The 16,300-nt window shown below is 36.9% G+C and overlaps 1 protein-coding gene across 3 annotated transcripts in view; it reads right to left on the bottom strand.

The window, feature by feature from the left end:
• The window catches only part of PHF6 (PHD finger protein 6), a 55,479-nt gene that overhangs the window by 6,800 nt on the left and 32,379 nt on the right, over positions 1–16,300 (bottom strand). For 2 of the 3 annotated variants that reach the window (NM_032458.3, NM_001015877.2), the window contains exons 6-9: positions 8,334–8,500; positions 8,025–8,168; positions 6,871–6,975; positions 4,689–4,822 (exon numbers count right to left, since the gene is read on the bottom strand). In NM_032458.3, coding sequence (NP_115834.1) covers positions 4,689–4,822; positions 6,871–6,975; positions 8,025–8,168; positions 8,334–8,500 — 550 coding nt within the window. Of the gene's footprint in view, positions 1–4,688; positions 4,823–6,698; positions 6,976–8,024; positions 8,169–8,333; positions 8,504–16,300 lie in introns of those variants that run through there. The other variant, NM_032335.3, reaches the window with a different exon arrangement.

Below are 16,300 nucleotides of genomic sequence, written 5' to 3'. Positions count from 1 at the left end.
CACCATTGCACTCCAGCCTAGGCAACAGAGTGAGACTGTCTCAAAAACAAACAAACAAACAAACAAACAAAAAACAAGATGTAAAATTGTTTAATGTCACACAAAAATGTCTCTGATCTAGTAAGTGGAAAAGAGATTATAAAACAGCATAGATAAGAAAATCTTTTTTTTTTTTTTAAAGAAAGCAAACGAATAAAAGAATGGCTACCCCATAGGCAGAGCAGCAGAAAATCTTGTTTTTATAAATACACACACATAATCACATAAACGTCTAAGAGAAAACATTCCAAAAGATTTAAAATTATTACCTCTGCATGGCAGAGTTAAAGTTGACATTAAGTATTTTTTCTCATCTATATTTCCATTTTTCTTCCAAAATGAAAATGGAAATATTTAAATATTTTCCATTTAAAACTATTATAATAAAATCATCTAAAAGTTACACTTTTAAATACAATAATTCTCCATACAATCTGATTTTGGATATTTAAAATCAGCCTGTTATTTTAAAATGTTAAGGGCTACTTTAATAATAATATACTTCTCATGAAGATATTCAAACACCACAGAATCCTATCATGGAGAATATAAACTTGCCTCTTCTCCTCCATCCTTATGCAACTAATGAGAAGTAATATAACCATTAAGCTTGTTGAATATGTTTCTAGAGATTTTTCTGCATACACAAAAACATACACACACATATGTGGAAGGAGACCTACACACACATATGTGGAAGGAGACCTTAAGGAGGGGTGAGCAGAAGGATGGTGATGTGGGTCTTTGATGACACTGAAAAATTGCCTACCACATCTGTATTGCTTTCCTCTGCATGTCTTTTAGGTGAGAAAGCAACCCTCTATCCTGTTAAGCTGCTATTTTTTTTTTCTGTTATATAAGGTAAACACAACCATTAAAAGTGAAAATTATATCACATTTAGCCTTCTAAATAAAACTGCCAAAAAATTTGGATTTGATCAAAATTGTACTAAATTTATACATTTGGTGAGAATAGGTGTCTTTTGATGCTGAGTTTTCTATCAAGGAACATAATATATTTCACCACTCATTTCAGTCCTTTGTAAAATGTAATTTTTGGCCAGGCATGGTGGCTCACAGCTGTAATCCCAGCACTTTGGGAGGCTCAGGTGGGTGGATCACTTGTGTCCAGGAGTTTGAGACCAGCCTGGACAACAAGGTGAAATCTTGTCTCTACAAAAAATAGCAAAAATTAGCCAGGCATGGTCACGTGTGCCTGTAGTCCCAGCTACTTGGGAAGCTGAAGTGGGAAGATCACCTGAGCCCAGGAGGTCAAGGCTGCAGTGAGCCGTGATCATGCCACTGCACTCCAGCCTGGGTGACAGAGTGAGACCCTGTCTCCCCAACCACACCCCAAAACAAAGCTTTGTGTGTTTTTTTTTTAAATGGAAAAAATTCATCTTTAGTGTATGTGTGTTTGGCGGGGTATGGCAGGCGGTTTTCCTTTACATTTTCTAACTAGTTATTACTGGAATTGTTTTTTAAAAGTCATCTCATATTCAGCAATCTTACTGAGCTCTTACTAATTTTAATAAATTCAAAGTTGATTCCTTTGAATTTTCTTGGTAGACAATGATATGAATAACAAATATTGATCATTTTATTATACACTTTTATTTATTTATTTCTTTTTTTTTTTTTTTTGAGACAGAGTTTCGCTCTGTCGCCCAGGCTGGAGTGCAGTGGGGCGATCTCGAAGCTGGTCTCAAACTCCTGACCTCGTGATCTGCCAGCCTCGGCCTCCCAAAGTGTTGAGATTACAGGCGTGAGCCACTGCGCCCGGCCTTCTTTTATTTTTTAAATTGAGACAGGGTCTCACTATGTTGCCCAGGCTGGTCTCTACCTCCAGGGCTCAGGCAATCCTCCAGTCTGGGCCTCCTGTATAGCTGGGGCTACAGGCGTGTGCCACTTTGCCTGGCTAATTTTTAAATGTTGTGTAGAGATGGGGTCTCACTATGTTGCCCAGGTTGGTCTCGAATTCCTGGCCTCAAGCAATCCTCTCGCTTTGGCCTCCCAAGTGTGGGATTATAGACGTGAGTCAATGCACTGGGCCTCTTTCTTTTTGTCTTGCATCAGCTTAACCCTCTAGAAGAATGTTAAAAGTCATGCTAGTAGTTGGCATCCTTGTCTTCTTCCTAATCTGAATTAAAGTATAGTCTAATGGTTCTCAATTAGAGGGGAACATAAGAATCACCTGGGGAGTCAGAAAAGTGCATGGTTTGGGCACCAACCCAGACCTACTAAATTTAAATCTCTACAGGTAGGGCTTAGACATGAACATTTTAAAAGAGGGCCTTATCCACCCCACAGTGATTCTGAGGCTCACTCCTGGTTAAGAACCATTGCTCCTTCACTTTAATAATAAATAAGTTATTTGCTGTTGTTTTTCTCATAAACACCTATTAAGATTCCTAGCTTACCAAGAGCACTCGTTACTTTAAAATTCAGAAATTGATGTTGAATGTTATCAAATGTCTTTTCACCATCTATAAGGAAGGTGATAAGATTATTTACTCTACTAATTCTAATAAATTATATTAATATATTTCCTAATTTTGAACAGTCTTTTTTCTTTCTATTTTTAAAATTATATAGAGATGAGAGTCTCGCTTTGTTGCCCACACTGATCTGGAACTCCTGGCCTCAAGCAATCCTCCCACCTAAGCCTCCCAAAGTGTTGAGATTATAAGTGTGAGCCACTGTGCCCAGCCTGAACAGTCTTTCAATTCTTAGAATACAGAGCTGGATTTGATTTACTAATATTTTATTTAGAATTTTTGTATATTTATAAAAGTGAGATTGTGGCTGGGCATGGCTCATGCCTGTAATCCTAGCACTTTAGAAGACTGAGGCAGGGAGAACGCTTGAGCCCAGGAGTTTGAGACCAGTCTGGGCAACAAAACAAAACCCTTCCTCCTCCTCAAAAAACAAAACAAAAAAAATTAGCTGGGCATGATGGCATGCGCCTATAGTCCCAGCTACTCGGGAGGCTGAGTTGGGAGGATCACGTGAGGGCAGAAGGTCAAGGCTGCAGTGAGTCATGATCACACTACTGCACTCCAGCCTGGACAACAGAGTCAGATCCTGTCTCAAAGTAAAAAAAAAAAAAAAAGGGGAGATTGGTCTACAGTTTGTTTGTTTTTCTTTTAACGTATCTTTGTTAGGTTTGGTACCACAGTTATGTAAGCTTTACAGAATGAATCAATAAGTTTTCCATCTCTTGCTATGTGCTGGACCTCTTAAATAACATTGGGATTATTTGTTCCTTAAAGGCTTTATAGAACTCACTTGAAAACATTTGTGCCTTTATTATTAAACAGAATTTGGCAAATTTTATTATACAGCATAGCGCCTTATGTAGGCACCCAAATGACTTGGTGACTGCTTGTGTACATTGTCTTTTACACAGAATACTAGACCCGGAAGTCATTGGTTTATTGCATTCTAGGCATGTGAGAGTAAGGAAGTGCTTTACAACTCTGGATGGCAAATCAAAACTTCAAGAGTCCCTACCAACTTATACTCCAGTCGATTAAACAAATGGAACCATTACAGATATACATTAACACCACCTAGCACAAGGCAGCACAGGTAAGTGGAAGACCCATAAAAAAGAGGGTGACCCCCAATCCCAAATCTTCATACTTTACTTTTTCACCATCTTCTCAAGAGAATCTTTTGCCTTCTGTCTACCATATCCTATTCTAAGCTACCAATAATTCTCACCTGGACCACCAGCACTAGCCTCCTAACACATCTCCCCATTTCCACCTCTGCTTCTGTCTCACCCGGGGCTCTTGCATATGCTCTTCTCTCTGCCCAGAATACCTCCCCCAACCAAGGCTCACCTTTGTCCTTAATATCTCAGCTTAAAGCTGAGCACTATTTCCTTCAGAACATTTTAAATACTCCCCACTACAGACTAGGTTAGCTCTTCCTTCTTATACGCTCTCATAACACTTTGTAACTTCTTTAGAACACTTACGCTGCTATGTTGTAATTGCATATTTGGCCACTTAAATAATAGGTCTCTCCCAATAGACTGTAAGCTTCATGAGGAGAGTATATGTAGTGTTTTTTTTTTGTTTGTTTGAGATGGAATTTCACTCTTGTTGCTCAGGCTGGAGTGCAATGGCGCAATCTTGGCTCACTGCAACCTCTGCCTCCTGGGTTCAAGCGATTCTCCTGCCTCAGCCTCCCGAGTAGCTGGGATTACAGGTGCCTGCCACCACACCTGGGTAATTTTTGTATTTTAGTAGAGACGGGGTTTCACCATGTTGGTCAGGCTGGTCTCGAACTTCTGACCTCAGGTGATTCACCCGCCTCGGCCTCCCAAAGTGCTGGGATTACAGATGTGAGCCACCGCACCCGGCCCAGTGTATGTAGTTTTGATCACTGGCATATGCCCAGCTTCAAGCACAATGGCTGGCACATAGGAAGCCTAACTAATATTGGATGGATGAATGCTAATCCAGGGATATGTAGTCAGAGGAAAATGCCAATTGTAGTACTCATTCCTTACATAATGTGCTCAGTATTCTATACTTAACTAAACACCATTTAAGAACAGAGACTGAGTAAACTAATGTCATCTATTTAAGGACGGTTACTAACATGTTTAGGGAAATAGACAACTGTTGTTTTCTTACTTGTAAATTCCTCGTGACATATTTTCAATGTATTTAGCTTTGTCTTGTACTCCACAGTGGTAATGGTAAGTCTTAACACAGGCTTTTATTTCACATCCAATAGTAGCACCAGGCTGACTGCAAAGTGTACATTTCTGTATAAGGAAAGAGAAATAATCGTAAGCCGTATTTCAAGAAAACAGCAGCTATTTTCTATTGAAAAAGAGTACACTGAAATTATCACATAGCATATAACTGAAATAATGCTGCAACTTAAACCATACTTTGATAAGCCCTCTAATATTGTCATCCCCTGATGTTTCCCTTATTTAACATTTATAAACTGCTGGCTTATTAGAAAAACTACTGACCATCCCAGGTCTGACATCTAAATGTAGATAAGATTCTCCTCAATGCTGCCAAATACACAAAAAGAATGATGTTGTATATCTTAGTGGTTGGCTTCTTTTCTTCCCTAAGATCAGATCCTTTCCTATTATGATTAGGGGAAAGAATAAGAAACCAGAAAAGCAATCCTCCCACAGAGGAATTGCTACCAGTAGACAAAAGTACAGAGGGAGACTAAAGGGGCTGAAATCTTTTCAAAACTTCTCAGTTTGGCCTAGATAAACCTTGCCTGAAGAATGTTCGGAGATTAAAAGGTACCTGTTGAAAAGGGGGTTTCAAGTCAAATAAGTTTGAGAAAGGATAGGTTAAGCAGATCACTTTATTGCAGGACTTCTCACAGCCTTTTCTCCAAGGGAGGGGGCACAGAGTAAACAGTTTTCAAGTTTATTGAAATCTAGATGCCCTTTTATCTCTGGAGGGGTGGGGGAACATCTTGATGGACTAACTTCCTTTGGAGCACACTTGGGGGAAATGCTAGGTTAGTGTTTACCCCAATCCTCAATGGTACAGAGGTAAACAATAAGTTGGCAAGATAATTGAATTGTTATCTTAGTCACCTGTTTGGACTTTAGCTGTATTATACAACACTGCTCTGAATAATATGATGAAGTGGTTTTTCCTTTTTTCAGTACTACAGGCTCTGTTACGAAAGTTTCATTTTTAGCCGGGTGCTCACGCCTGTAATCCCAGCACTTTGGGAAGCCGAGGTGGGTGGATCACATGAGGTCAGGAGTTCATGACAAGCCTGGCCAACATAATGAAACCCTGTCTCTACTAAAAATACAAAAATTATCCAGGCGTGTTGGTGCATGTCTGTAATCCCAGCTACTTTGGAAACTGAGGCACGGGAATCACTTGAACCCGGGAGGCAGAGGTTACAGTGAGCCGAGATCGCACCACTGCACCCCAGCCTGGGCGACAGAGTGAGACTCTGTCTCAAAAAAATAAAAAAATAAAAAATAAACAAAAAAATTGTAAGGTATAATGACATTGTGGTTAGGTAAGAAAATGTCCAATTATTAAGAGATACATACTCAACTACATGGAGGTATAGTGATACGAAGTCTGAGGTCTGCTTTAAAATACTTCAAGCAACAAGAATAAAAGGCCTATATGAAACAAGCGCCACAAATTTAGGTAACTGATGAAGCAAGATGATGGATAGATACATGTTACTAGGCTTTCCAATTGCGGTATGTTTGAAAATTTTCCCAACAAAAAAATTTAAAAATTAATTTCTAGAAATAACCGACATAGCATTCATAAGTGTTAAAGGAGTAAGCGATCAATAAAGATGCCAACATTTCTTAGAGCTACTTGTTGGTAATTCAGTATGTTTAACAACATGAGACTAAGGCGTATTTTATATTATTTTATTTAAAAAACCTTAAAGCTATGACAAACATTTTAAGAGGCAGCCCTGTGTATGTGTTCTTTAAACAGAAAGCCCTGAAAAAAATTTCCTTTAAGCAAGCTTACACAATGTAACATTTTAAACTTAATGAAGTTTGTCACATTCATATCTTCATTTATTTTATTAAACGGCTTGCAAATGCCTTGAAATGTATATAAATCTTCTCAGTATAATTCTCTTAAAGTAATGAAGTTACATAGAGAAATAAGTTTCAGTAACATCAGCATCCTTTATTATATTACAAATAAGTCAAATATATACTTTGCTTTAACATACGAACTACTTTAAATTTTCTGATGACTGGATAAATTTGGGATGTACTCTAAATTTAAAGCAGCAAATCAAGTGTAATGTTGCATAACAAATATAAAAACTACAGACCATTCTTTTTCCTCGTTTAATCTCCTGAAGTACAGTTTTAATATCAAAGTCTCCAAATTCTGCTCTTGATGTTGTTGTGAGCTGGACTGTGCCAGAAGAAAACAACTAGAGAAGAAAAATGCAGGAAAATTAACATTCAGAATCCTTATGAGAGAAACATTAAATGTGATAACAAGTGTGTTATATTTAATTTCCGAAGAAAGATAATCTTTCCTTAATAATCAAGTATCTGCTCAAATATTTTTAATATATTTACATGTCTGATTAAAATATAACCAAAATTATGGACATTGAAATAAAATGAGGACTGCCAGTGTGGAGCCAAGATTAAATAGCCTGCTTTAAGCAATGAAAATTTCAACAATGTCACTCTATTCTCAACTATTTTACATTTCCACAAAGTTTTAAAAAATAGTTTAAATTGGCAAATTTCAACCATAGATGCAGATTAGAATCACTCGCGTATTTTTTTTTTTCAAACTAGACATATACGAGATCTATTCCACAGGGTGCCTAGATGCACATATTTCGGAAAAAGCTCACCAGGTAAATCTGACATGCACTCTGGTTAAGAATCTCTGACATAAATAATGTAATTTTAAAAACCTTATCAATGGGATGAGTCATTCAATACAATCTAAGTCAAAGATATTTATGTGTACTGTAAGTCAGGCATGGACCTAAGGATGTCAAGATAAAAACTTATTCTTATCTTCAAGGAATTTAAGAGTCTGTTAGGGAAGATAAGTTCATAAATGAATAATTGTAATATAGAGTGTTAAGTACAACAGAGATAATTATTAGGTTATAGTGAAAGTCTAAAATATATTTCATGACATGCTTATAAAGACAAAATTTTTATAGTTATGAAATAATTAATTACAGATTATCCTAACTACAGTAACTATAATTAGAATTACTTCAAATCCTACTAAAACATAAAGGCTATAATTTAACAAAATCTAAACTTAAGATTTGGGATTATAAGATATACTGTTTATAACTCTAAAATACTAATGCTGGTGGGGGGAAATTTTTTGGTTACTAGCTAAATGATTTTTAAAAAAAAAATCATTTGGGCTTTAGATCACAGGGGAAACAAAGAAAAACAAACAACAAAAAAACAAAATTGGGCTTAAAAGAACCATGCTTACCATGCACTTATAATGGGCAGCTGCCTTCTTGGCATTAAATATATGCAGTTTTCCTCGTGCTTCATTTTCTTCCTCCCCTACATGGCAAAATCCACATTTAGGCCTGGTGTCACTAGGGCTGCTTCTGTGTGGAGACCTATCTCTCTGCAAATGTAAAAGAAAAAACGAACTTAAAAAAAATCATGAAAATATGCTATCGGTATTTCAAGCTTACTTAACATTTCAAATGATGAACTTTACCTATAGATAGTTTAAATGAAATATTCATGGTGCAACAAAAGTAAGAATCCAACAGTTTTTTTTACTTACATAGGAACTACTTTCCATTTCATCTGTTCCATGGGAGGATGTGGACCTGGTATCTTCTGACAGCCCTTTAAAATTAGTTTTTCTTGGCCTTCCTTTGCGACTTTTCTTTTTACTTTTAGGTGATGAGGGCTCCAGTTCATGTTCATTAAAACTTTCTTCTAAATCAGCTGCTTAAAAATGAACAAAAACTTTTTATGGACCAATCTCAAAATAAGTATTAGTTCATGGGTCTTTAGGACATATGTTTCTCCTTAGAATGAAACTGTCTCCAGAAATGAGGAGAAATGGTCTGTGGTATGTTCAATAAAGCCACCCAATGTTTCAGATAAATGCAATAAAAATCAAATACAAATAGTTTAGTAAATTAATTTTTAGAGTTTGCTTTTGCATTATTATTTTTTTTTACCATAGGTTTCAAAGAGTTTGTAAAATTAGAACACTTACCTAGAAAATACACTTACTGTAACTTGGAAAACTAAATGAAAATAAAGTAGATATATCTGTGCTATTCAATGTAGTAGCCACTAGCAACATGTGGCCTTAAAAAATTTAAGTCAGTTATAATTAAATAAAATTAAAACTTCAGTTTCTTAGTCACACTGACCGCACTGCAAGAGCTTATTGGCTACATGTGGCTAGTTGCAACTGTATTAGACAGCACATATACAGGACTGTTGCCACTGTCACAGGAAAGTTCTACTGGATAACACTGGTCTAGATTACTCTTCAAACGATCATGAAAACTGAATGAACAAATTCAACAAGGAAGTCATTTACAATTGAACTAATGGATCAAGTAATTAAACAAATATTAAGTACAAAAAGAATTTCTAATACAAGCAGTAAAAAAAGTATGTTGCAAGTTAGTTGCATATGCTTTAATGAATTAAGCAAAACTTACGCAGAAATTTGAGAACTGCATTTCTCAGTAATCTGAAAAGAATTTCTACCATAATGAAAGGTGTTTCATCAGTAGTTTACTATAAATATTTTATTTATTGAAGGCCTCTGTATAAGATAATGTATTAATATTTAGTGTTTAAAAGGGTAATAAAAACCAAATGTTCACTTGCCATAGGCTCAAACTATGGAAAGTTTTAGGCACAGCTCTAATATTTTCGCCATTTTTTCCTTTACCATGTTATTGATTATAATTCTAGAGACTAATTTCTCAATGAGAAAGCATATCAACTCCTATGCTCAGACGTTAATATCTTTCCTACTACTTTGAAGGTTGTTTATTAGAAATGAAAGCACATTTATTATAAGAAAAGGGCAATTCAGTTGGTATACTTGAATATATATATAAATTAAGGGAACTACAAGTATTAGGTTGTTTGCAAAACAGTTAATAACAATTTACATGAGTGCAACTTCACATAGCTCTGGTGGGACTTGAGGGAGTTAAGGGGAAAAGGTAAAAGTTATTGCATAGTGTTTTATAGGCAACAAAATAAATTCACGTGAATAACTTCCTGTGAAGACACAGAAGTCAATTAAAGATGTTTTCTCTCCTTAACACGATAGCAAACTTCATGTCAGAATACACTACTTAATTTAAATATTCAAACTGACAATTTTTAAGACATGGAATTTCACTAAAAGCTGTTAGAATTACTTGCACTTGGCTGGGCGTGGTGGCTCACGCCTGTAATCCCAGCACTTTGGGAGGCCGAGGTGAACAGATCACGAGGTCAGGAGTTCGAGACCAGTCTGGCCAATATGGTGAAACCCCGTCTCTACTAAAAATACAAAAAATTAGCCGGGTGTGGTGGCGCACACCTGTAGTCCCAGCTAATCGGGAGGCTGAGGCAGAAGAATTGCTTGAACCCGGGAGGCGGAGGTTGCAGAGAGCCGAGATTGTGCCACTGCACTCCAGCCTGGGTGACAGAGCAAGATTCCATCTCAAAAAAGAATTACTTGCACTTGCCAAATATTAAAAATTCTCAAAATGAAAAATCATAACTGTTTCAATCATTCTAAGACATCTATGTGTATGTATATATAAAACATTGTTTTATACATATGTATACACATAATATATTCAGTTATCTATTATGAAAATAAGCATCACTAACACCATACATAACACTATTAAATAACATTTAATAGTTGTTTAATAAATAACAATAAACAAATAAGATGTTTAATAAATAACATTATTAAACATCTATAACATTTAATAATGTTATTTATTAAACATCTATAAAAATTACTTAAGAACTGATTCCATTATCAAGCCAACATGATTAGTTTCCCACATGTCATATTTGTTCTAAATATGAAATCATTCCACAAAAATTTTTAACAACTTTAACATCAATAGTAAAAGTCACGAAAGATTCATATATTTAACTATATTAGACTTTCAAACTGAAAAGTATAAATTAAAAAGTGGTAAATTTGGGCTGGGTGTGGTGGCTCACACCTGTAATCCCAGTACTTTGGGAGGCCAACATGGGCAGATCACCTGAGGTCGGGAATTCGAGACCAACCTGACTAACATGGAAAAACCCCATCTCCACTAAAAATACAAAACTAGCTGGGCGTGGTGGTGCATGCCTGTAATCCCAGCTACTCGGGAGGCTGAGGCAGGAGAATGGTGTGAACCCAGGAGGCGGAGCTTGCAGTAAGCCCAGATCGCGCCACTGCACTCCAGCCTGGGTGACAGAGCAAGACTCCATCTCAAAAAAAAAAAAAAAGTGGTAAGTTAAAAGGCAAACAATAAACTGGAAAAAGGCCGGGCGCAGTGGCTGAGGCAGTTGGATCACTTGAGGTCACGAGTTCGAGACCAGCCTGGCCAACAAGGTGAAAACCTGTCTCTACTAAAACTTCAAAAAAAATTAGCTGGGTATGGTGTCGCGTGCCTGTTAACCCAGCTACTAGGGAGGCTGAGGCAGGAGAATCACTTGAACTCGGGAGGCAGAGGTTGCAGTAAGCCGAGATCATGCCACTGTACTCCAGCCTGGGTGACAGAGCAAGACTCTGTCTCAAAAATAAAATAAAATAAAATAAAATAAAATAAAATAAAATAAACTGGAAAAATATCTGCTTCTGCTGTACCTCTGACAAGGAATTAGTATCATTATGATATGATAAGCTCATGCAAGATTAAGACCCAAATGGAAAAACAGATCAAGGATATAATCAGATAATTCTCAGAATATAAGTAGTTAATAAGTATAGTTTAAAAATATTTAACTTCTCCAGCATCAAAGTGCAAATTAAGTGATATATCATTTTCACCTATCAAAACAGCAGACTTTAAATAGTTATTAAAAGCTAAAATAAAAACCACAATGAGATACCATCTCACATCAGTCAGAATGGCTATTATTAAAGAGTCAAAAAACAATAGATGCTAGTGAGGCTGTGGAGAAAAGGGAATGTTTATACACTGTTGGTGGGAATGTAAATTAGCTCAGCCACTGTGGAAAGCAGTTTGGAAATTTCTCAAACAACATAAAACGGAACTACTATTTGACCCAGCAATACCATTACTGGGTATATATTCAAAAGGAAACAAATCGTTCCACCAAAAAGACACATGCACTGTTATGTTCACCGCAGCACTATTCATTATAGCAAAGACAAGGAATCACCCTAGGTGTGCGTCAACGGTGGACTGGATAAAGAAAATGTGGTTTGGTGTGGAATACCCTGCTACATGGAATATCCTGTAGCCATAAAAAAGAATGAAATCATGTCCTTTGTGGCAATAAGGATATGGCAGGAACAGAAAACCAAATGCAACATGCTCTCACTTATAAGTGGGAGCTAAACACTGGGTTCTCATGAACATGGAGATGGCAGTAATAGAAACTGGGGACTACTAGAGGGAGGAGAGAGGGAGAAGGGCAAGGGTTGAAAAACTAACTATTGGGTATTATGCCCAGTACCTGGGTAATGGCATCATTCATACTCCAACCTCAGTATCATATCGTATACTCAGGTAACAAACCTGCACGTGCACCCCCCTGAATCTGAAGTTAAAAAAAAAAAAGGTACAATAAACCCAACAAAATACGTGTTAGAAAGAAAATATAAAACAAGTGCCCCTAAATGGAGAGATAGACTATGTTTCTGAATGAACATGATACACAGAAAATCAGCTCTCACTAATCTGACTTAATGAAATGAAACTTAAAGTTGATTCTGTGGTTTTCTGGAAAATGGATGAGAATACACAAGATGAAAAAAAGAATACACAAGAGTATCCTTTTGAAAAGAAGATATCAAAATATACTATAAAGCAATAGCAGTTAAACCACTGGCACAAGAATAGACATATATCAGTGGAAGAGAATCTCCAAGTTTGAAAACAGACCCACGTGCACATGAAAATTGAAAATATGATAATGGTGGCATTTCAGATGAGTGGAAAAGACATAATGGCACAACTGGATATCCATTTTTTAAAAATGGATACCTCATACTATATGAAAAAGTTAGGAGATGTATTAAAAATCTAATTGTAAAGTAAACTATGAATATAATAGGAGAAAATAGCGGAGAATTTTAAAAAATAATCTTGGATCAGGACATATAAGAAGCCCTAAAGGAAAAGACTGGGATATTTGACTAAAAATTAGTAACTTTTGTACAGCTAAAGGCACCATAAACTAAGTTAAAAGAAATAAATTGGGGCCGGTGCGGTAGCTCAGGCCTGTAATCCCAGCACTTTGGGAGGCTGAGGTGGGCAGATCACCTGAAGTCAGGAGTTCGAGGCCAGCCTGGCCAACATGGCAAAACCCCGTCTCTACCAAAAATACAAAAATTAGCCGGGCATGGTGGCAGGGCACCTGTAATCCCAGTTACTAGGGAGGCTGAGGCAGGAAAATCGCTTGAACTTGGGAGGTGGAGGTTGCAGTGAGCCAAGATCGCACCTCTGCACTCCAACCTGGTGACAAGAGTGAAACTCTGTTTCAAATAAATAAATAAATTGGAAGATCATTTGCATATAGTGGCAGAATATCTATATTATAGAGAACACCTGTATATCAATTTTAAAAAGACAAACCCCAAGAGAAAAATGCACAAAGCATAGGAAAAGGCAATTCACAAAAGAAACATAAATGACAAAAAAACATGAACAGAGGCCCAACCTCACCAGTGATAATGGAAATTAAAATTAAATGAAATAATCAGACAAAAATTAAAGACATAATACCTAGCACAGGTATGGGAATTAGACACTGTTAGTGGGAACATAAACTGGGTAAACAGTTTCAGAAGCCACGTGACAGTACTCATTCCCTGTGTTAAATGCATAGACCCTTTGACTTGGCAACCCCATTTCTAAGACTTTTATCTTACAGAGTCACTCGTATAAGTACATAAGTATATTATGTACAAGGGAAATTGTTGCAGTATTATTTGTAATGATGAAGAAGCAGATATAACCAATTTTATTAATAGATAAATCCTTAGGCCTGGACGCAGTGGCTCACGCCTGTAATCCCAGCACTTTGGGAGGCCAAGGCGGGTGGATTGTTTGAGGTCAGGAGTTCAAGACCAGCCTGACCAACATGGTGAAACCCCGTCTCTACTAAAAATACAAAAATTAGCCGGGTGTGGTGGTACATGCCTGCAATCCCAGCTACTTGGGAGGGTGAGGCAGGAGAATCACTTGAACCCGGGAGGCGGAGGTTACAGTGAGCCGAGATCACGCCACAGCACTCCAGCCTGGGAGACAGAGCGAGTCTCAAAATAAAAATGTAAAAAAAGTGAAAATCTTCCTTTCACCTTCTACTTCCACCTGCTCTGTGCTCCTGGTTGGCTCCTCAGTCTCCCTAACCTGCCTCCCTCCCTGACCTCCTGACCTCCCACCCAGAAAAGCACTGTTAACTGCTTCTTTTCTCAACCTCAGTGTATAAGAGCCTCAGTTTGAATCTTGGATCTTCCACATACTGTGTATCTTTGGACCTGAAACCTACGTCAGGGGGTTCTTAAATGAATTACATGAATTAGTGCATGTAAAATACTTAAAACAGTGCCTGGCACATAAGATGCTTTCAATAAATGCTATTATTTTCTCTGCATATGCACGTTTTTTAAAATGATATACACACAAATGGCATTCTAAGCACACTATTCTGCATCTTGCTTTTTCCACTTAATATAGCTTGACAACTTTCCATGTCAGTATATAGGAATTTACCTCCTTCCATATAAGAGCTAATAGTAATCCATCGTATTTAACCAGCCCCCTATGGTTATGACTTGTAAGTTTTCAGTGGTTTTGCTGTTACAAATGTGATGAACACTTTCTCCATTTATCTTTGCTCACTTGTACAGTATCTTAACAGCTTTCATTTGTAAATATGTGTGTATAAGTTGGAAATAGAATAGTAAGAGCTAACATTTGAGCTTTTAAGTTTTCACTATACCAGATATGCTATGTGGTTTATATGCATTATCTCATTTGAGCCTCACAATCATTCCACAAAGTTGTAACGGTCATCTTCCCAACACCCCCTCCACCCACCACCACCCTGTTTTACAGATAAGGAAGTTTAGAAAGGTTAAGTAATTTTGCCCAAGGTCACAAAGCTAGAGAATGGCAGAGCTGGGACAAATATATATGTCAGTGAATAACTACAAGTATGCTCTTAAAATAGTAATATTCATTGTCATGGAAATACACATTTCCATATGCTCCTGGATGTTAGAAAAAGAACAGTTATGCTTATGTATGCACATAATTGGTCTGGAAGGATACACAAGAAACTCACAGATAGTAGTGTTTGCTTTTAGCAAAAGAATTCAGAAACAGATACAAGGGCACGGGTGACAGGAAAGCCTGATTTTTGTACAATGTTCATGTATCTATTCAAAATAAATACGATAAAAAGTAAAACTTTACACTTATATTCACAGCTGCAATTTCTAAAAATCCAGGCTGATAAGGCAGGCGACAAAATAGGGTTGTCCTCCTTCCCGAGCCACCAAACATTCCCAGCCTCTTATCAGCACAGCTTGCAGATGTCTGTGTCACGTTAGAATGGCCAGGCCCCTCTCTATTACCCTTCTGTTCTCCTCTGGTATGGCCTCTATAGGGAGGGGAATGCCCAACGTACCAGGACACCAACTCTCTTCCTAGTATTGTAAAGCCCTGTCTGTCCCTTTCCTGATTCTCTTCTCTTAGTAACCAATGTTTTCCTCATCTTACAACTTCCTGGTTTATGCTCCACCTTCCTCCTCCTAAGTTCTCACATCAGTTAACAGTGTGAAGTAGAAAGGATATCTGGACAGAACATCTGAAATTGCCACTTACTAGGTCTTAACTTGGTTAAGTTACTTACCATTCACAAGTGTCTTCATGTGTCAAATGGGACTAATGTTAATACCTTTCTTACAAGGCTGCTTTAAGAAATTACTTGTGAAAAATGCTTTGTAAACTATAAAATTCTATTTAATTGTTAGTTAATACTCTTGGCATATCTTGTGTAGACTCTAAGCTCTTTGTCCACATGGGGACTTTAATTCTCCAAGGTGCTCACACCTTGTAGGTACTCAATAAATGTTTGTCAGAGTAAAAAAAAAAAGAAAGAAAGAAAGAAAGAAAGAAAGAAAGAAAGAAAGAAAGAAAGAAAAAGAAAAAGGACAGGCATTAAGATTGAGGCAAGCATCACCACCTCTGCTTTGAATCTTCATGGTTGCTGCAAAAGGAAAACTGGAGGACATTCGCCCTGCCTTTTCCAGTGTAAATGTGATGTGCATTTACTCTGTATGTGCGGAGTCATTTGTGAACTCAGCTTCCTGCTTTTTCAGGAAAGGTATGATTTATATATATATAAATCATTTATATATATAAATCATTTACTTGATATACTTGATATTATATATATATACATACACATGCACAAACATGCATATATACATACACATGAATATACAAATTTGTAACATACACCCAAAATATATTATTACTAAAGTGTGCTAAAATGAAATCTGATGTCTGGGAT

This window comes from Homo sapiens, chromosome X, assembly GCF_000001405.40.
Source record: "Homo sapiens chromosome X, GRCh38.p14 Primary Assembly".
NCBI lineage: Eukaryota > Metazoa > Chordata > Mammalia > Primates > Hominidae > Homo > Homo sapiens.
Note: the sequence above shows the minus strand (reverse complement) of the source record. Positions and strands in the feature narration are given on the sequence as shown.